The sequence below is a fragment of the Homo sapiens genome, chromosome 18 (genome assembly GCF_000001405.40).
Source record: "Homo sapiens chromosome 18, GRCh38.p14 Primary Assembly".
NCBI classification, from domain to species: Eukaryota; Metazoa; Chordata; class Mammalia; order Primates; family Hominidae; genus Homo; species Homo sapiens.
This window is the reverse complement of record NC_000018.10, coordinates 8173870-8195084: the sequence shown is the minus strand read 5'-3', so window position 1 is coordinate 8195084 and position 21215 is coordinate 8173870. Positions and strand designations below refer to the sequence as shown.

At 40.8% G+C, this 21215-nt stretch overlaps 1 protein-coding gene across 32 annotated transcripts in view, besides 1 other annotated feature; it reads right to left on the bottom strand.

Moving 5' to 3' along the window:
- PTPRM (protein tyrosine phosphatase receptor type M) overlaps positions 1 to 21215 on the bottom strand; it is an 839541-nt gene that overhangs the window by 211772 nt on the left and 606554 nt on the right. The window lies entirely within an intron of this gene.
- Positions 7111 to 7612: an enhancer, noted in NCBI's record as "NANOG hESC enhancer chr18:8187471-8187972 (GRCh37/hg19 assembly coordinates)". NCBI's record gives its function as "activates a minimal SCP1, AML or CMV promoter by ChIP-STARR-seq in primed H9 embryonic stem cells {active_cell/tissue: H9 hESC(primed)}" and the evidence as "EXISTENCE:reporter gene assay evidence [ECO:0000049][PMID:30033119]".

Genomic DNA, 21215 nt, shown 5'->3' with positions numbered 1-21215 from the left:
TGGATGACAATTCTGTAGTTTTGAGAGGTTTCTGTGCAGAATGTTGTCCTCAGGGTGGATGCTGTTTGCATGTAGAGTCCTGCCTTGGGATGGTGGGGCCCTCAGGTGCTGGGGAGGCAGTTTCTCATGAGAGCCTTCTTTGATTCCTGAGAAGAAACGTTTGTATGCCCAATCCTTACAAGAATAAAAGAGGCGAGTGCAGCTCAGATCTGACAAAACAGAGATAACCACCAAGTCTTGGGCTGACTGACACTGCGTCACTCTAAGTGACTCCCAAACAGGAGTACTGAACAATGCAGTATTTCAAAAGCAAGAAAAATTAAAAAGCAGCACAAAATGTCATTAAGAAGTAGATTTCTACATTTCCTTTGAACAGACAGGATATGTTGGATGAATACAGCCACGGCTGTGCTATGTGCTGCTCATGTTATTTCCAGGCTGCCTATGCCATAAATCATGCTGATACTGCACTCACAACAAACCAGTAAGGCCTAATGAATGAGCACGCACAGCTACCATGGATGGAGCTGGAGCTCCTATTCATAAAGGGGCCTGCCTGTTTCCAGTGTGGATTTCAGGGTGCCCCCTCAGTCCTCACACGGAGCCCTGAAAGCAGAGTTACTCTATGGACAACTTTCCACCGCCGTCACTTTCTAGTGACACTGTTTTAATGCTTGTTTTCCACATATCAGCTCTTGGTTTTGAACACCTCGGCCATGATTTCTTTCCCACCAACTCAAAACTCAATTGGCTAAAATAACCAGTGTTCTCAGCTACCATAAGCTACCACATTTACTACAAAACCATTATGGATACAACCAGCTTTTGAAATAGTCAAGCTACCAAGGGAGATGAAGGGGATGAAGACAGAAATGATAAGAAGAGGAGATGGCATTAAAGTTTTAGAACCAAATTAAAGATTCTAAACATATTTTGAACTGTGGTGTTTAGACACATAAAATAAGGGGGAAAAGATTAAAGGACAGATGTCTGGAGAGAAAATTTGGTTTCACGATGGCCTCTCAAGGCCCCCTGTCTGACAAGGAGGATCTTTGTAGGAGTGTGACATTACAGAGTGTCACGAAGATAAAACAGTCAATGTCAACCCAAATCAGCCATGTCAGATTAATATGGTCTGGTGCGTTTCTTAATACAGCATCCATGAGAACTGGAAATTGAAGACCCAGTGTGTCTGAAACAATTTGGAAAACACACAGTACTTTAAGAAGACAGGCCAAGGTTCAGCGACACATAGCAGAGTGGCCTGGGTGCTGTCCCTACAGCCACTGTGCCTGGAGTAGAGACAGGGGCAGCTCTTTCTCTTTAAGCCTTGGCCTGTGGCCCACAGTCTCTCTAACTCAGGAAGCCCTGGGTCCCTCAACACTTTCTGCATCTTAATCAAAGCAGAAGGCTGCCAGCTGTGCACTCACTACTGTGTTCTGCTCTCTGCTCCACACTTGTTGGGCCCAGGTGACCAAAGCTCCCTGAGTCTGCGCGAGAGGCCCCTGTGGGGAGGGCATCTGGCCACAGGCTACAGGACAGTTGATGTTCATTACAGCTGACCATAGCTCACTGGGGAAGAAAACCCTTATGCTGTCATTTAATCATATTTTTTAAAGGGCTTTGGGAGTTACAGACATTTTGTTGACTTTTATACTGGAAAGTATAAAATTGGAAAGAAGAATTAAAATTACACATAATCAATTTGTAAGCACCTGGAAGAGAAAATGAAGCTGTATTACTGCCCCTTGATAGCTTTCTTCACCACAGCTTCTCATTTTGAACATCCTCCCCTCCACAGTAAAGGCAAAGGAGCAGTATAACACACACCTGAATACCCTTTGCCTGGTTCCAGCAGTTGTTAACATTGGCTTTCTCTTGCTGTTTCTCAATATCTCTCTATCTATATCTTACATAGAATTTCCCCTAACCATTTGCAACTTAGTTTTAGATATTATTTCTATCCCTAAATATGACTTCAGCATGGATCTCCTATATAACCACAATAATGTTATCACAACTAAGAAAAATGATTTTACAATATCACTTAATGGGAAGCCTACATTCAATATATCCAACTGTCCCCCACATGCTTTCTGTAGCTGCTTTTTCTTTCCTACATCCAAGCTCAAGGACATAATGTGAAGCTGTATCACTACTGGCTTTGCTAAATTTGAGCAAGGTGTTGACTACTAGATTCTTCTATTTGTTGTTAAGGCTCAGTTTTCCATCATAAAAAAGAAATTAAGTAATCTATAGGTGACACTTGAAGGTCATGTGAATATTGTGACTCCCAGAATATCTCTTACCTGGTCATTTTGGCAAACACTGACAATTCTTATTATTAGATCTTATATTGGCCTTTGCAAAATAGTCATTCTCTAATCTTATCATTTCTACATTTATTTCCTGGCATTACAGTATGCTGTAAGGAAAAACATCCCCCATCCTTTCTATTTATTTTCAGTATTTTTGATTTTTTTAAGTTTACCATAGATGCATATATTTATTAAAAAATTCAATGTGTTATAATCAATTCCTGTCAATATTCTTTGGGTGATCAAATTGTCCCAAATTTGGCCTGTGGGAGCCCTTTCATGCAGGCTCTTGTGTTCTTTTGACATAATCTCATTAGTCTTTGAGTACAACCTTGATTTTGGCATAAAATGCTATAGGTTCAACTGGTTTATCCCTGACCAAGATCTAAAATTCATTAGCAATTTCTCCAGGAAGTCCTGGTTTCTTTTATTGGGGAGTGGTATTTAGAAAGCAAGATCTAGTTGTAATACATGCTCACTGCTACTGAAGTTTCATAGCTTCTAGCTCATTCCCATGAATAAAGCCTAGAATATGTGTGCGAATATTGATATGATTTTGTACTATTTCCAATTCAAATTTAATATTACAGAGATTTTCCTTACTTTTAAACAAAGTATCTGCATCTTTCTTACAGTGATAACTTAGATTCTTAATTACATTAATATATTGGCTTATTTACTTAGTCCTACTATATGTAAAATAAGTTTAGAATAATAATATCAATATTATTAATAATAAAATAAATCTAAATAAAGCTTAAGATTTCATTTCAGTTTTTTGTCCTTAGACTACATCCTACAAGAATATATAGAAAATGATATGTGTTCAGAAGTTACTTGAAATCTTTTTTTCCCTGTAGGTTGGTAATACTGTCAATTTGCTACATAGTCAGATTCATCTGCTTCCATCTATATACAATCTCAGGGTGAGCTTGTTTCATATATTCTATTTATTTCTGGGATATGAAAAACATTTGGTTCTAAAGTCAAAACTGTATTAAAAAATGTAGTCAGAGGAGTCTCCTGTGCAGCTCTCACCTTTATTCCCTCCTCCCCATTCCCCTGCTCACTCATCCCCATAGGCAGCCATTTTCCATTGCTTTGGGTTTATCCTTCTTGGGTGTGTGTGTGTTGGGGGGATGTGTGTGCACATGCATTTGTGTGACACAGGTGACAGACATACACATACACTTACTCATACCCCCTTTTTCGTTACACAGAAGGCTTGGCTCCATGTACAGTCATTTGCACCTTGTATTTCTCAGGCCTTTTCAGCATGGTGGTTTCCTATTCCCTTGCCTCTTCCACATTTATTAGCTGGCATCTTTCTATGAAGAAGAGATGCTTCTCCTGCGTGTCACCGTCTCTGGAAATCACCCCACTCCTGTTCAGAGAAGTCCTTTCCCACCTCCTCTGTAGCCGTGCAGTACTCAAGTATGTGCTCCCTAGGCCCCTCAGACGTGTCTGTGTTCCGCCAATCTCTGCCTTAAACTAAGTATCAAATGATATGGCCCATATTAAGAGTTTGCAGGGCACATTACCAAGGCTGAGGCCATAGGTGGCTCAGGGTGAGTATCCTTGGCTGGCTGGGCAAGCCCATAAAACAGGCTCTGTGTGACTGCAGCTTTTCTCACCAACCCTGCCAACTTAAGGTTCCCTTTCCTACTCTGTGCCCATCCCCATTCCTCCAACCCCTTCTTCCTGGTAACTCCTTTTTAGACAGACTTCTCCAGAGGCTCACCCAATTTCCCAGCTGTGTCCTTAGCAGGCAGCAGGCTTCCAGCTGATAAGATATTAATTAATCTTTCCTATGCAAGTCTGTAACTGCTAAGGTATGACCTATCCCACCAACATTCACTCCTCCCCAACACACAATTTTTTTTATTAAGAGGAAAGTCATTCTAGTAATAATATCAGGAAAAAAATTGGCCATGACAATGTTGTTTTTTGTATTTCCCCACATATATTCTCTGAATTACAACTATCTTCACTCAATAAAACCATCATCTTGTATATTACTTTTAACATTTATGTATTTGAAATCTAATTTATCTATGTATTTGAAATCTAACTTATCTATTAAATTAACTGTATTTTATATGAAATTACTACAGATAAACAGAACATAGATTTATTATTTCCAAACAGGGTGAAATAAAACATACAATATTTAAATAAAATTAATTTAGTCACTGATTCTTGAACAGATTGTATTATCTCTGTCTTTCTGAAAGGGAAGGAAGACTAGAACAACTACTCAAAAAGTGACGTGAGCAGCTATAACTGTGCTATCATTTACAAAAATGGGATAAATTAAAGGAAATTCTGTCATTTGTGACAATATGGGTGAACTTAGAGGACATCACGCTAAGTGAAGACAGGCACAGAAAGACAAATGCCTCATGACCTCACATATATGTGGAATGTGTAAAAACTCAAGCTCATAGAAGCAGGGAGAAGATAGGTGGTTACCAGAGGCTGTGTGGGGAGGGAGGCTGGAATGATGTTGGTCAAAGGACACAAAATTTCAGTTAGACAAGAAGAATAATTTCAAGAGATTTACTGTACATCATGGTGACTTTAGTTAATAACACTACATTGTACATTTGAAAATTGCTGAGGGTAGATTTTAAGTGTTCTCACCACAAAAAATAAGCATAATTAGCTTGATTGAGCAGTTTCACAATGCATACATATATCAAAACATTATATTGTACACCATAAATATATATAGTTGTTATAAGTCATTTAAACAATTTAAAAAGTACTCTACAAGTAAAAAAGATAACTCGGTCTTAGAGAGTTGGTATTGAATATATGTTTAACATATAGCATTATTTTAATTTTTAAGTAAGTAAAGTAAAAAAGTGACTGCAGAGAAAGACTGATGTATTTCTAAGAATTTTAAATGCAAACAAATTATACGTCAATAAAATAAACTGACGAACACTATCTTGTTGGATTTTAAAAGAGGGCTCTTTAAAGTCTCCAGTGATGGGTAACCCAGCAGTCACTCAGGTATTCCAGATGGAAGTCTTCCCTGGATATGCCAGGCCAGCTGAGGAGGGAGACCTGTGGGCAGTGCCAACCCCAGGCTCCTCACTCAGGTAAGCCACCTTCCCCTATACTCCACCCCCAGGGAATAAACGAATAAAGAGCCCACATATCAGCTCTGAAGGATGCCAATTCAGGCATTGATAAATCATCCCAAAAACTTTCTATGGCTTTATTTCGCTTTGGGCTGAGGATAAAACAAAATAGGCTTAATTCTCAGTGGGAACATTTTTGCTTTTATAAGGTGGAACAGGGTGACAAAGCACCTGTCCATGGAGATGCAGAGTGGACAGAGAAGGACATCAGTATGCCCTTCCCCTTACCACTCAGAAGTAGCAGAACCCCCCGTGAGCTGATCTCTCCAAAAACAGGGGATGTTTTCTTCATTTACCTTTCAACCCTGAGACCTTTTTTTTTTTTTTTTGAGACGAGTCTTGCTCTTACCCAGATTGGAGTACAGTGGTGCCAGCATGGCTCACTGAAGCCTCAGCCTCAGACTTAAGTGATCCTGCCTCAGCCTCCTGAGTAGCTGGGACCACAGGTGCACACCACCATGCCTGGCTAATTTATTTTTTGTAGAGATGGGGTCTTGTCATATTGCCCAGGCTATGAATTCTGGGCTCAGGTGATCCTCCTGCCACGGCCTCCCAAAGTGCTAGGATTACAGGTGTGAGCCACCACGCCCAGCCTCAACCCTGAGATCTATGAATGAAAAACATACAAAAATAATTTATACTCAGCCATCTTTGGAAAAGTATTTTCTGAAAAACTGGTTGAATGTGGCCACTGTTATCTTAATAATCCAGTGGCTTATGACTTATATTTATGCCATAAAATTTCAAATAACATGCTTTTACATCATCTCTGGTGATGTCAGGTAGGTCTTAGGTCTGGGGTGGAGTCTGGATCTCTGTATTAAACATAACTCCCCCACCCCCAACACACACACAAAAGCCTCTTTAGGTTCTTCTGAAGCACAGCCCCTCATTTTAAGAAAATTATATTTTGCTCTTTAATCTAGTTACAGTGAAACTAACAAAAATTTTACAATAAAACCATCAACTTGATGGTCTTCACCAATAAGTCATTTGCTGCTTAGCAAATTTAAATGACCAGGGCATTACTTGGTCACTGTCTTTCCAGGGCTGGGCACAGGCAATAGGTCTGAGCCTGAGCTCTATGTGCGTTTCGTCACGGTGTGGGGCTAGTATTTCAGCTGGACATTTTCTCGGACATCATGGTAACGCACCACCTGTTACATACAGGAAGTGTTCAGTCCGTGATTCATCACAGAGCAGCATTATTCACTTACATATTTCCCAGGGAGCTTGCTTCAAAATGATGAGTTGGTTCAGTACTGCAGAATGCAGCAAAATGTTGGCTGCTGCCACAGGGAAGGACTAAAGGTTTCAGCTGTGTACATCCTTTGTCCACAGTATGGGAGGAGCCTTTCCTCTGACTACATGGTATTCAAATTTTATGCACAACTGTGATTAGCTTTACGCTGAACTATGTGCTTCTGGATTTTTGTTTTGTTTTACCTTTTAAAAGTGAGATACTACTGAACATTTCCTTTCTGCCTCTCCATAAATATCTGAGAAACAATTAATGTATGTTTACCTCATTTGTGAGATTTAGGAGCCTACAATTTCTGACATAGTTTCTTCTGTTTATGGAATGAAATATGTTTTTAGCTCATGGAATGAGAAGCTTGTATGCTTTTAAGAATGACTGGAAAGAAACAGAAAAAAATACGATGTTTAATATAAGCATTTGCAGTTGCCATCTGCATACCAATCTCCAAAAGGCGAATGGAATGAGCAAGATGTATTATTTGATGTGCCCAGTGGAACTGCTCTTCAAGGTTAAAGCAATTCCTAAAAAACATGTGGTAATCTCATGAAACCAACTCAAAGCCTGTACACTCTATGGTGGGCCAAGGTTCCAGACCCCATGGTTGCCGTCACTGCTATTCCTCCTGTACAGCTGGCTCTATCCAAGTCCCGTTAACTTCACCTCTTAAATCTCCATCTCTTCTGTTGCCAACTTAGTCTAGGCTCTCACCTACTCTTGCTAACGTTTTTCTGCTGATCTCTCTGAAGCCATACTGGCCTCCGTGCTGTCCACACTGTTACCAGAGAGCACTTTGAACACAAATTTGATCACATCATGCCCTTACTTAAAACACAATAGAGGTTTCTACGCTACTTAAGATGGCATGGAAACTCTTCCACCTGACCTAAAGGCACCAGGCAGTTCAGGCCCAGCCCACGTCTGCCACCGCCTTGCCCACCAGGCTTTGCCCGCTCTACCAGTGGCTGCTCTCTTGCTGGCCTTTCTCCAGCCCCTAGATGCACCATATTCCCTCCCACCACAGACCCAAGACAGATGTTGCTTCCACAGCACAGAATGCTCCACCTCCCAGTTCATCTCATTAACTCCTTTTCGCTTGTAGCTATCACACAAATCCTTTGGTTGGGCATGGTGGCTCACACCTGTAATCCTAGGACTTTGAAAGGCCGAGGAGGGTGGGTCACTTGCAGCCAGGAGTTCGAGACCTGCCTGGCCAACATGGTGAAAACCCTTCTCTGCTAAAAATACAAAAATTTGCCCAGCGTGGTGGCATGCGCCTGTAATCCCAACTACTCGGGAGGCTGACAGACGAGAATTGCTGTATCTGGGAGGTGGAGGTTGCAGTGCGCCAAGATCAAGCCACTGCACTCCAGCCTGCACAACAGAGCGAGACTCTGTCTCAAAAAAAAAAAAAAAATCTTCCCAAGGGAGGCCCTCCTTGCCCACTCTAAGTCAATCTCTCTATTATGAGCTTGCAGACAGAACCATGCACGTCACTCCTCTGTTACCTGTGTCACAGTGCATTTGTACATTTAAATTTGTGATTATTTTATTAGTATCTAGATGTCTTTGAACCTCAAATGTAAGGCCTAGAAGGGCAGGAATGCCTCTGCCTCAGTTTCCCCCATGTCACCTTGCGCTGTGCCTGACACATGAGTGCAACACAGTGGCTGGACAGACATGGTGGAGTCTCTCAGCCTTGGTTCAAATCTTAGTGCTATGTGGAAAATGAGGTGAGAGCTGGCAAGAAAGAACAGCTTTGAGGGCCATGCACAAGAGTGCAGGGCAACTGTTGCTCTGAAAGCAGAAACAAAGCAGAAGAAAATCCTGGCAGTTGCCCACATTTCTGTCAAAAAAGGAATGTTAAAATACGAAGCTACAGCTAAAGTTGAGGTAGATCAATATATCCTGGTTAACATGGAAAGAGCCCTCATACATATTAAGCTAAATAAAAAGTCACAGACCATCAAGATGGGGTGATTCAGCTTACAAAGAAACAAAATACTTTTCATTCTTTTTTTTTTTTTTTTTTTTGAGATGGAGTATCGCTCTGTTGCCCAGGCTGGAGTGCAGTGGCACGATCTCCGCTCACTGCAACCTTCGCCTTCCAGGTTCTAGTGATTCTCCTGCCTCAGGCTCCCTAGTAGCTGGGACTACAGGTGCCCGCCACCACGCCCAGCTAGTTTTTGTATTTTTATTAGAGACGGGGTTTCACCATGTTGGCCAGGATGGTCTTGATCTCTTGACCTCGTGATCTGCCTGCCTCAGCCTCCAATACTTTTTATTCTTAAAAACCTTCTGTGTATCTCTCTTTTTACAAATGAGATATTCTGCATAATATTTCTTTCCTATCTCTTCACAAAATGTCCAACAAATAACAAATAGAAGTAAATATACTTCCTTTTCCAGATTTAGAAACCAGATTTCCCCCTGGGGAACAGGACTGTGTATGGAGGAGGTAAGGGGCAACATTGGGAGACACATTTCATTTATACGTTAACATAGTACCTATGTATTTTATTTTGTTTTTCCTCTGTAGATTCTTGTTACCCAGGAATTTTGCCTCTTCAGGTGAAGGCACTAGGCCTCCAGTGGTCACATGATTTTCACACTCTATTCCATATGCCTGCCTAGAGAAACTTTTCACAAAAGGAACATATGTTTTTATGCAACTCATATACTCCCTGGGAAACATCTATTAACAAGACACACAAAGACGGGTCATAGAGATGAACAGTTCAAATCGCTCTGTACGGTGGCCACAGACCCAGAGCCACCTGAGGCCACTGACCTGCCAGGCCCTGTGCCAGACGGTAATGTCTAGTGACAAACCTGAATAGGGAGACAACTACCAGGAGGCAGGCTGGTCAGGGCAGAGGCCCAAACACCACACTGCCTGGCTCGCGACCCCAGCCCCACTCCTACTAGTCACAGGACCCCGAGCAAGGTGATCAGCTTCTGTGTCTCAGTTTACGCGTGTAGAATATGGAGATCATGCGGTGCCTCCTGGTGGGGCTCCTGGGGGGCCTGGTGAAGTGTGGCCTGCACAGCACAGGGTGCAAGAATACCCAGCCAGCCTTACCCTAGAGGACAGAGAGCTGAGCCCTACAGGAGAGATGGATGTCTGGATGGTCATGTACAAATTTTGAAAGTATTTGGCATGGATAGAAGGATAGAAACTATCTTTTTTTTTTATTTTTTTTAACAATTAGTAATCAGATGAAATTAGTGGGTTTAATTCTATCTTTGCATGTAAAATATACCATTGTCTACTCATTGGCAAAGTACATTTGCTGTTAATATATCTCAAAACTACAGCAACTAACTTATTACTCTTAAAAAAAGAAAACCAACAAGATAGTTAGATTATACTTGGTGAAAGAAAGTGGTATCCTTTGAAAGTCTGCATTAGAATTCAAGGCCCGTGGCAAGACCCTTTCAGGTGTCTTACCTGGGCAACTGCTATCTGTGAGGCTAGCCTGGACCTAGGACCAGAGGACTAGGACAAAGGGACGCTCTCACTCAGCACTCTTTACTAACACTCATGTGGTAGGTGACAACTTTTAAAAATTTAAGAACTGAAAAAAATCTAAAAAAGGTTAAACATCAAAAATAAATCCTAAATACATAGGGCAAATCCTCATATAACTTTTTCCTAAAAATGATATTTGTTCAGCATAGGCATTTGTTCAGCTTTAGGCCAGTGTTATAGATTAGGGCAAATTGTCTTCCTTAGCTTCTTGGTATATATTAAAGTAAAATAAGTCATTAAACCTTCGTCACTTGTTCTTAGCATTACATCTATGTTTCAGCCTATGATATGGGCTCGGGCCGAGGCTCCCCTTCTCTTCTCCACCCAACAGTCCAGTGGGGTCTGTGCAACCTCACTCATCTCACTCGTCTCCTCTGAAGGCACAGAGGACAGGGTATCCAAGACTCTCAGGACAGATCTTTTTAATGGACTTATCATTAAAGTCAGTGGGACTTTACCCTCTGACTTTCAAAAACAGCACATCCCTTTCCTTTTACATAGTTGCAGCAGGATAAAACACATCAAACCAATCAGTGAAACAGAGAAGATGAAATAAACTTGAAACAGATTTATTCGTGCTCCAGAATGGCAAAATGCTGGAGCTCAAGACCAAAGATTGTCCACTTCAGCAGGGCAGGCCATGAACTTGCCTGCTTGAATACTGTGTCTGTGCAAAGAAACGGAGGGAGCAGGTGGGACAGAAGATCTTCTGGTTAGGGTGGCAGTGTGGGTGTGGACCTGGGCAGGAACTTTGGGATGAGGAAGAGGATGCAGTACAGGGAAATTCAAGTTCAAAGTGGTTGCCTGGTCATTCCAGTATCTTGGGAGATCAGCATAAAGACAGGGATAGAACACAGAAGTCTAAGTCATCCTTCACAGACCCAGAGTGGACTTCTACTCATGGGCCAGAATTGGCCACCTGTGCCCCATGTCAGATTTCCTGAGCTGGAGACAGCCTGGGGCCCAAGTGGCAGGCCGGTTCCACCTAGACTTGGGACAAATCACCTCTGAGGTTGAGGATGTAAACACCACATAATACCCTTTGTCTACCTGTTTATTTTTAGTCTCCCCAAAACTGACAGCTTCATGAGGGTGGCAACTTTGACTATTTCATTCCTCCCATTGATTATTCCATTTTATTCCTCCTACTTTATTTTATTCCTCCCATTGGTTAACTATTTTATTCCTCCCATTGGTTAACACGGTGCCTGGAATGTGACTCAATACATATATTCCTGCTGAGGATGAATGAGATTCCGTACGAGGCTCCTGGAGAATGAACGAAGGAGGAGAAGGGCAAAGAAAGGAGGAAAAAGCAGCCAGGAAACCTCTGCTGAAAGCAAAATGAAGCAGATATTGCAGGACAAACAACACAGCATTAGCTTCTCTTCCTTTATGTCATCGCATCACAAGTTCACCGCTTTCCTGCCTCTTTTTTGTCTCTCCCGATTGATTATATTATGAGCAACAATGGTGATTCTGATAAGAAAGTCACAGCATCAAATCTTTGGAAATAAAATAAAAAATTAGGATTTTAGCCATAACAGAATTTAGCCATATTTAAATAACTTGTAAGAGTTAAATATTTTTAATCAAGAAAAAAAAGTGACATACTTGAGAAGGCTTTTAATGTCTAAATCCATTTAGAAGCTATGGTTTATTTTGTTTAGGTTTTGGAAACGAGGAAGTCCATGACTTACAATGAAAACAAAGAAAGTTTTGAAACAAAAGTAAACTTATCTAATTATAAGTGCTGTGTGACTACAACCTTAACTGTAGCTGAGTCTGGGGGGATTATTAACAGTACATCGTTAAATACAACTCTTGGTGTGGCAAGATTTGTGACACACTGCGCGAAAAACAATGGGCTATGAAACGCACATAGAGCACTGTTCTCCCTCCAACAGGGAGACAGACTGACAGATGCATACCCGTGCACACTCACAGTGCTATACGAAAAGAGGGTCATCAGAGCAGTCACAGCACTTGGGGGCAGGGAAAGATGATAGATTATTTTACTTTTTTCTTGGCACTTTTCTGCTATGAGTCAAGATTTTATAATAAACATGTATTAGTTTTCCAAAGACAAGAAAGCGATCAAAGTTATAATTTAATCATAGTGATTTTACAGCTGCAGTATGTATTTTTGAGTAGAGTGCAATAGTGGTCCCCAAGTAGGAACTATGATGCTTTCTAAAAATAAAGATTCCTGTTTATTCTCTATTTGGGCAATTCAAAGTGTGGGCTAGACATCTATATATCTGAAAAGTCCTTTAGGTAATTCCGATTTGGAAGTCAGCTTAGCAACAAATAAGTGCAAGAGAAAAGGGTACTATCACTAGTGTGACATTCATGACAGGTCACTTTAGCTTAAAATATTTAAAATGAACTCAAGTTTAGCTTGCGTAATGTCTCCATTATTTCAAAATACATGAGATATACGAGAGTCTTGAGGAGGGAGGGTGTGGAGCAAGGGCTGGAAAACTACCTATTGGATACTATGTTTGCCACTTGGATGATGGGATTACTAGAAGCCCAAACCTCAGCATCATGCAATATACCCAAGTAACAAACCTGCACACGTACCCTCTGAAGCTAAAGTAAAAAATAAAATAAAATAAATAAAAATAAACATTCAGGACCATAATCATATAAAAAAGACATTTTTGAATATATTCAGCAACTATAAACATATTCACACGCTGCTTCTCTACAGTGAACAATATGATGGGTTTATGAGGGAGTTTCCTTTCATGGTACAATAATGGCATAGGAAAAAAATAGTTAAATTAGAATAAGAACTGAAAGCATCAAAGGCAGCTAGCTCCTAAGGTAAGCCACAGACCAGCGTAATTAAAGACCCCCAACAAATGCTACTCATCTTCATCTTAAAATTGAACCATTATATTTAAAAGAAGGGGTTTCCTTTGAGTTCCACTTTTTCTTTTTTAAGGTATTTTTTTTTTTCACGTATTAAAAAGCTAAATATTTTAAAGGGCTCAAGAGCTGAGAATTATCTTTGCAACACTGCCAGCACCGATGAAGGAAAAGTGGGTTCTGAACTGTTAAGCTGGGGAAAGCCTGATGCGGATTCATCTTCCCTCAGAGACCCTCAGCTTGTCTGATTCAACTGAGTGTCATGAGAAGTCATGGGTGGAAATAGTTCACAAAACGATTTTACTCTTCTAAGATGCACAAGCAGCAGAAAATGCTATTAACTCCGGCAGAAGTACAGTTGCCCAAGACAGAAGGCTTTCTGGCACTTGGTCATTTGTTTGGTCCGTGGAGTCTGGTTCAGGCTCATTTCCTTTTTCGCCCCTCAGTCTCAGGATGGATAGCTCGTCTACTTCCAGAGGAACACAGGCTTCCAGTGAGGCTCTGATGTGCGTGATCCGCAGAGGTCGCCGCCCTCTGTGATAGGCTCAGCAGAAGCCACTCTGCCCACCAAAGTGGGCTCCTCAGAAGTTGCCTCCAGCAATTGCCACGCTTTCTATGGCCTGGTTTTAGCAGACTGTGTTAATTTAACCAACATTACCCAAAATAAAAAAGACGGGGTACACTTGGAGAAAGATGGAATCACTCTCAATTCTCACTTTTTCCTCCTTGATGATCGCTCAGAGTAAAACATCTGACATAGCTTTCAAATCTCCAGAAGGGCAAAGATTTCTGTTTGTTTTGTTCATGGCTATATCTGCAATGTCTAGAACAGTGTCGGACATGTAGTTAACTAAACTAAATTTGGCTTGAGTATGCCTCCATACTTGAGTCCTTTCCTAACCAACTGCAACTGAACTTAGCAGTAAATTAACTGAAAGCCTAACTCAGGAGTGTCACAGTAGGTAGCTAGTCAGACACAAGTAGGGCAGGAGAGGGCCCCCCCACCCGCCATCAAACTAAGAACATCAGTCGACCATCAGGTGATGGTCAGGAAGTAGTTAAATGTCTCACTAAAATAATAATTGGTCATAGGTGGCACATGGGAATGGCAGTCTCCCAGTAGACAGAAAAAACCTGAAACTGGTGATCAGCAGCTTCCTAATAAGATCTCAGGATTTGGGCAAGTGGGCTCAAGCATGTGCACTAAGAGGCAAAATGGTGGAGTTTAACTGGTATATGACCTTCCTCTAGGAATAATGAACCGGTAAGGGAAGAAAGCTCAGGTGAGCATGCATACAACTCCCATAAACACAGTGTACATGCAGCCCCTCCCAAGTGCCGGCAGGCCACTGCGCATTCGAACAGCCCACCCCAAGGGAAGAATCAGGGAGAAGTAATGCAAGACCTGGAAGCATGCCAATGTATAAAACCCCAAGTCAAAGGTCAAAACATGCACTTGACTCTCTCAAGTTGCCCGCTTGACCCTTTTCCAAGTGTACTCTATTTCCTTTTGTTTCTGCTCTAAAGCTTTTTAATAAACTTTCACTGGTGCTCTAAAAGTTGCCACAGTCACTCCCTCTGTCTTATGCTCCTTGGTCAAATTCTTTCTTCTGAGGAGGCAAGAACTGAGGTTGCTGCAGATCCTTACAGATTTGCTACTTCTAACAAACTTTGGTGCTGCATGACTTGGATATATTCTCTAGTGGTAATATACTTTGATGCCACATGACTCTGATACATTCCCCAGTGGTAAGACACCTCTACACCTTGCCTTCTTTGGCTGCAGGTGTTCAACCTCCATACATGTTTTTTTTCCCCTCCCTTTCACTCTCCTGCTTACTAATCAACCCCTAGAACAATTCCTCTTGGCCACTGTGGTTCTGCTCTTCCAAGCTGATTTTTCAGGTCACCCCAACGGGTGGCTCACATTAGCAGTCACAGTACGTAGATAACCTCCACATTTGCTTTCCCTACACAGGACTCACACAGCAACATGTAGTACAAACCATCACTTCCTAATAGAAGGAAAATGACTGTTGTCTAATTCAAAGGTTATAAAGGTAAAGAGGTATTTTTGGTAAGGAAGGTTATAAAGAAAATAGATTTTATATGAGAAAGGATCTTGTATGGTAAATTGTTGTCCTAAAGTAAAATGACTGGTTGTTTAAAAAGAGGGATATTTAGGCCGGGCACAGTGGCTCATGCCTGTAATCCCAGCACTTTAGGAAGCTGAGGCGGGAAGATCACGAGGTCAAGAGATCAAGACCATCCTGGCCAACATGGTGAAACCCGTTCTCTACTAAAATTACAAAAATTAGCTGGGTGTGGTGGCTCATGCCTGTAGTCCCAGCTACCTGGGAGACTGAGGCAGGAGAATTGCTTGAACCTGGGAGGCGGAGGTTGCAGTGAGCTGAGATTGCACCACTACACTCCAGTCTGGTGACAGAGCAAGGCGCCATCTAAAAAAAAAAAAGAAAAGAAAAAAAAAAAAGAGGGATATTTAGGACAAGTCAGAAAGTCCAAGAATGGTGTGTCATGAATATCAAGTAGAACAGGAGTTAAATGTATGGACTGAACTAATAGAAGACTGAAATAATCCTTCCATTTAGAGCTTTTAACAATTGAGTAAAGTATATTCCTACAAACAAAATTTGGAGCATATTTGTTTCTCTGTACCTGATTTCTCCAGAATTTGGAAACTATTTTTGTGTATTCTTAACTTGTGGCAAGAAAAAGTTAACTTACATTATTTGCATAAGTGCAGTAATAATCTGACTTCTTTCGCAGCAGGACACAATTGGAGAAACTGGTTGTTTTACCAAGGCTTTGAATGGAATGGCATGCTTTCCTTTAAGGAATCAAATCTGACTTATAGAGATAATAAAAGTCCCTTGGGAAAGCTGGCCTCATACCTTCTGTATGCAGTCCCTGTACAGTGTTCCTGACCTGTGGTAAGTAAAGAATATCACTTTCTCACAGGCCTAGGAGCACCAAGTTATCTTGGGACCTTAAGAGGTGAGGAATGTACCCAACTCATACAGGTATTTGATGGTACAAACCCACAGCTAGGCTTATGGCTTTAAAACATTTTATCTGAGATCCTAATGGAACAAAGTTCCATCAAAGCCAAATTTATTTTTTATTTTATTATTATTATTATTTTTGAGACGGAGTCTTGATCTGTTGCCCAGGCTGGAGGGCAGTGATGCGATCTTGGCTCACTGCAACCTCCACCTCCCAGGTTCTAGTGATTCTCCTGTCTTAGCTTCCCGAGTAGCTGGGATTACAGGCACATACCACCATGCCCAGCTAGTTTTTTTTGTATTTTTAGTAGAGACGAGGTTTCACCATGTTGGCCAGGCTGGTCTCAAACTCCTGACCTCAGTTCATCCACCTGCCTCGGCCTCCCAAAGTGCTGAGACTACAGGCATGAGCCACCGTGCCCAGCCCATCAAAGCCAATTTTAAAAGGAGCCTATGTGGCAAATAATTATTCTTGCTGTGATTTATGCAAATAATCAGGCCAAGTATAACAAGACTAAAGCTTATTTTGCAAACAAATCAGTCCTATCATGATTTGTTTTTAATGAAAATGGAGATTGGAGGGAGAAAAATTGTGTTTCAAGAATGACGGCAAACCTGTTAAAAGATTCTAGTCTCATCAGTTCTTTTTGAGTTTTTGTCTGCAATTTAGACTAACCTTGCTTATTCCTGTGAACAAACCAATGATCTCTGGCTATAGCTCAGAAGAAACGAGAGGGTGGGTAATGTAAAAATTTGGATTAATATTCTAATTCTAGGCACATACTAGAATCGGCTAGCAACTCCATGCACCCAACATCTGAAACTGGTGATCAGCAGCTTCCCAATAAGATCTCAGGAGTGGGGCAAGTGGGCTCAAGCATGCACACTAAGAGGCAAAGTGGCAGAGTTTAACTGGTATATGACCTTCTAGAATTGTTCAACTGCTAAGGGAAAAATGTCTTAAGTGAGCATGTGCACAACTCCAGTAAACACACTGTGAATACAGCCCCTCCCCAGTGCTGGTAGGCCACTGTGCATACAAACAGCTCATCCCAAGGGAAGAATCAGGGGAGAAGAGACACAAGACCCTGGAAGCATGCCAATATGTACAACCCCAGATCTAAGGTCAAACCGTGCACTTGACCCTCTCAAGTTGCCTACTTGGCCCTTTTCCAAATGTACTCTATTTACTTTCCTCCCTGCTCCAAAGCTTTTCAATAAACTTTCATTCCTGCTCTAAAACTTGCCTCATTCTCTCACTCAGCCTTATGCCCCTGGGTTGAATTCTTTCTTCTGAGGAGGCAAGAATTGAGGTTGCTCCCAACACTTACTGATTTGCTGCTGCTAAGAGGAGTATACTTTTGTAACAAGTATAACAAGCCTTAGCCAATCACAGCAGCTGAGCTTCCGTCAATCACAGGAACCAACTAATCAGATCACTTTCAAATAAGGGAAACACTGCTGTAACCAGCCCAGCCTTTCTGTACCTGCCTTCTGTCTCGCATTGTGAAGGGGAACTCTGTGAACCTCTTCTGGTTCTGAGGGCTGCCAGATTTGTGAATCATTCTTTGCTCAATTAAACTCTGCTAAATTTAATTTGTCTAAAGTTTTTATTTTAACAGTAGGTTCTCAAAAAATGTGTTGAATGAATAAACAAAGAGGTGTGGAAACTGCAAAGAATTACTAAAGAAACTACTTACTTTATTGGTTGAATGGTTGGCTGAGAAAGTGTACACTGTGATTCTAAGAATATGCTTCTCATACTTTTATAAAGGTTAAAAAATACTTAAGTCATTTAGCTTTTTCCAAAAGGCATCAGTATTTGAACAAGTAATAAGAAAACACATCCCCTCAGAAAGGCAGGAGAAAATGGGGTTGACAGAAGAAATATGAAAAAAGTAAAAACATAATTGAGAAATCAGTGCACATTTTTTAAAAGGGCAGAAAAAAGGAGGGTCAAAAGACAAGATAGAAAAGAAGCAGATGTATTTCTGCTCAATCTGATCCACAAATAATTAGAACTAAACTGTCAACAGGGCTTTCAAGCTAGAGTGAAGGATATTAGTCACCAACTCTGCATGAGACTGGAGTCCTGACAGAGTGGCAGCCTTTATTATTGCCGAGGTTGACTTCCCTTCTGGAAGGTCACTGACCTTGATCTTTTTCCCTGACTGGCCTTCAGTGCTTTGCTAATCAGAGCAAAATCCTGCTTCAGTACCAACCGGGTGCGCCTGCAGTTAATCTTCCCATGACCTTTCTTCCAGACTCTCCTGCAAGTCATGTGGACGATCAAAATACATCATAAATTGCCATCCTGTTGGGGATGATGTGCACTTTGGTTCTCTTATTAACAGAGAACTTTCTTTTGGGTTAAGCTTAATAGTTGACAGCAATGTTCTATAAAAGGAGTACTGAATCCTACATATGTATACATATATTTTTTCACACAGGGACATTGTGAATAAAGAAAATCACATTGTCTGTGTTTATATTTGATGAATAATTAAGGGAATGAGAGATGTGGAAAGGACTTAAGAAGTCACCAGATCCAACTCCCTGCCTTCAGGCACATCCCTCTGAAATCACTGGCAATAGATGGCTATTCGGCCTATTTTTTGAGATTGCAGTAGATAGAGATTACACAGCCTTCTTTGTTAGCTTGTTTCCAAAAATAACTTCGATATTATGTCTAACTGTACTCTCTCTCTCTCTCTCTCTCTCTATTATACTGCCATACAACAAGCAATTCATTAATCGCTCCAAATACTGGATGAATTTTCCCTCAGGAAACTATTAACAATATAAGCTCATAAATTTTTAAATTTCCCAATTTGACATTAGATGGACTAAATCTTTAATTTTTAATACTTTGTGAATACTGCTTCTCTCAGTTAGCAATGCAAAGCCTTTAACTCTTAAAATGCTGCTTTCTGAACCACTTTTTAGTCATAAGAAGAGCACATGCTTGTTCTTTAGGCTTCAGCGTCTAAGGAATGAGAAGCAAGTCAGAAAACAGCAGCATGGGGCAGACAGTTCATAAATAAATCTGCTTTACATTTTCAGCAAGAAAACCTAATTCTCTGCCGGTGAGACAATTCTCACGCTAAAATACGTAATGTTTCAAGGCAGAAATCCTTGTTATAATTCTAAACTATGTGCAACCAACGAAATTACCTTCAAGATGCCTACTGGACTCAGCACACTAAGCCAGGCCACCCTGCTTCAGGCTATTTCCCTCATATAAGCAGAATATAACGAGCTACAGTTCATTAGCTTTAAACATTTGGCCTAAGGGATTCATAGGTGAAGCCTTTAAAAACAAGAAAATCATACACTGTTGAATTAAACTCCCATTTAAATGCTGAAAGTTGGGAAGTAGGTATTTCTAGATTGCCGGTGTGATTATATTATAGCATTGACATATTAAGAAACAGTACCTTCTGGATATAAAACAAAAATAAAAACAAAGTAATTATACACTGAAGCTTATATAGGAATTGTGGAGTCTTTTTTGTCTAAAACCTCAAATATACAGATTTTACCTCTAATTTCCTCATGGGGTGAATATTTATTCACTCCAGTTGTAGAAGTCTTCCTTAAGCACAAACATCACTTCCTTATTTTACACTATTGCAGGCCACCAAAAAGTTGAATAATAATATTACAAATTAATTTGTCTTGACTATGGCATAAGAACCATAATTAGCAGCAAATCCTTTTGCTCTATTTGCATGTGGTGAATTTTCCTTAATTAGTCTGCAGTCTAATTACGAAGCTCAATCTAGAGAACTCACAAAAGCCAGTGATGCAGAAAGCAGAAGACAGCATATTCCACCTCCTGGATTTAGTGCTCCAGAATCCTATAGCAAACCAGTTGGAACAGACTCTATTTGTGAGGGCATTAGCATGTAAACAGTGTCAGCCAGAAGACACATGGCAGCAACTGGCCATGCTAATGGAAAGTGATATTGAGTTTACTAATTCAGATAAGAGTGCACAGATTGCCTTTTCTCCAAAGCACAGGGACTGTCAGAGAGACAAATGCGTGGACCATGTTGCAATTAATTTGATTCTTGTTCTTTTAAGGCTCTACTTGTAGATTTAATTAAAGCTTTCACACACTGGGCACATGCAGGAAGTCTGTGAATTTAATGGCTTCTTTTGAATGAAAGCAGCAATGGAGGTTATGATTCAAACAGTAATAGGCAGTCATATGACAAAGATTTTTTTTAAAAAAAGTATGTGCATTCTTACTCAGGTAGCAAGGCATATTTTTATTTTAATAAGAGACAGCAAATTGCACTTTCCCTATAGATTTCCCTCGCCTCTTACTGCATGACTATTTCTGAGCTCAATAATCCTCCACACTTGGTCAGTATTGTGCTTATACTGCTTGGTTGATAATTCTTTCATCAAATCAACTATAATATATTACAATTCTTACATTGTAAAACCTCAAACCCATATGTCTTTGCTCTGATCTTTTGGTTTTAAACTGCCTTTGCAAAAATTATAACAGTGAGGAAACTATGACAGTGAAAGAGATCTTAGCTAACCAACCCCCATATTGCCTTTAAGCTGTAAACTGTCCTTAATTATTCCTAGACTTAGGCCAAGCTAACTTTGGGAGACATTTCTTTTATAGTTTAAATGATAATAACCCTTCCCCAAAACTAAACCACCTTTGTAAAGCTAATGAAAGACCACCAGGTTAGGGGGATGAAGAGCCAGAATTCTGCTAAAGTGTAAAGGAAAATGGTTACCAGCCATTATTCTGGAGGTGACAAGATTTGCAACTTCCCTTTACTCCTGTGGATAACACCACTATTGTAAAATCTAAGATTGGCCTTTTTTTTTTTTTTGAGACAGAGTCTCGCTCTGTTGCTCAGACTGGAGTGCAGTGGCGTGATCTCAGCTCACTGCAACCTCTGCTTCCCAGGTCAAGAGATTCTCCTGCCTCAGCTTCCAGAGTAGCTGGGATTATGGGCGACACCACCACACAGGCTAACTTCTGTATTTTTAATAGAGATGGGGTTTTGCCATGTTGGCCAGGCTGGT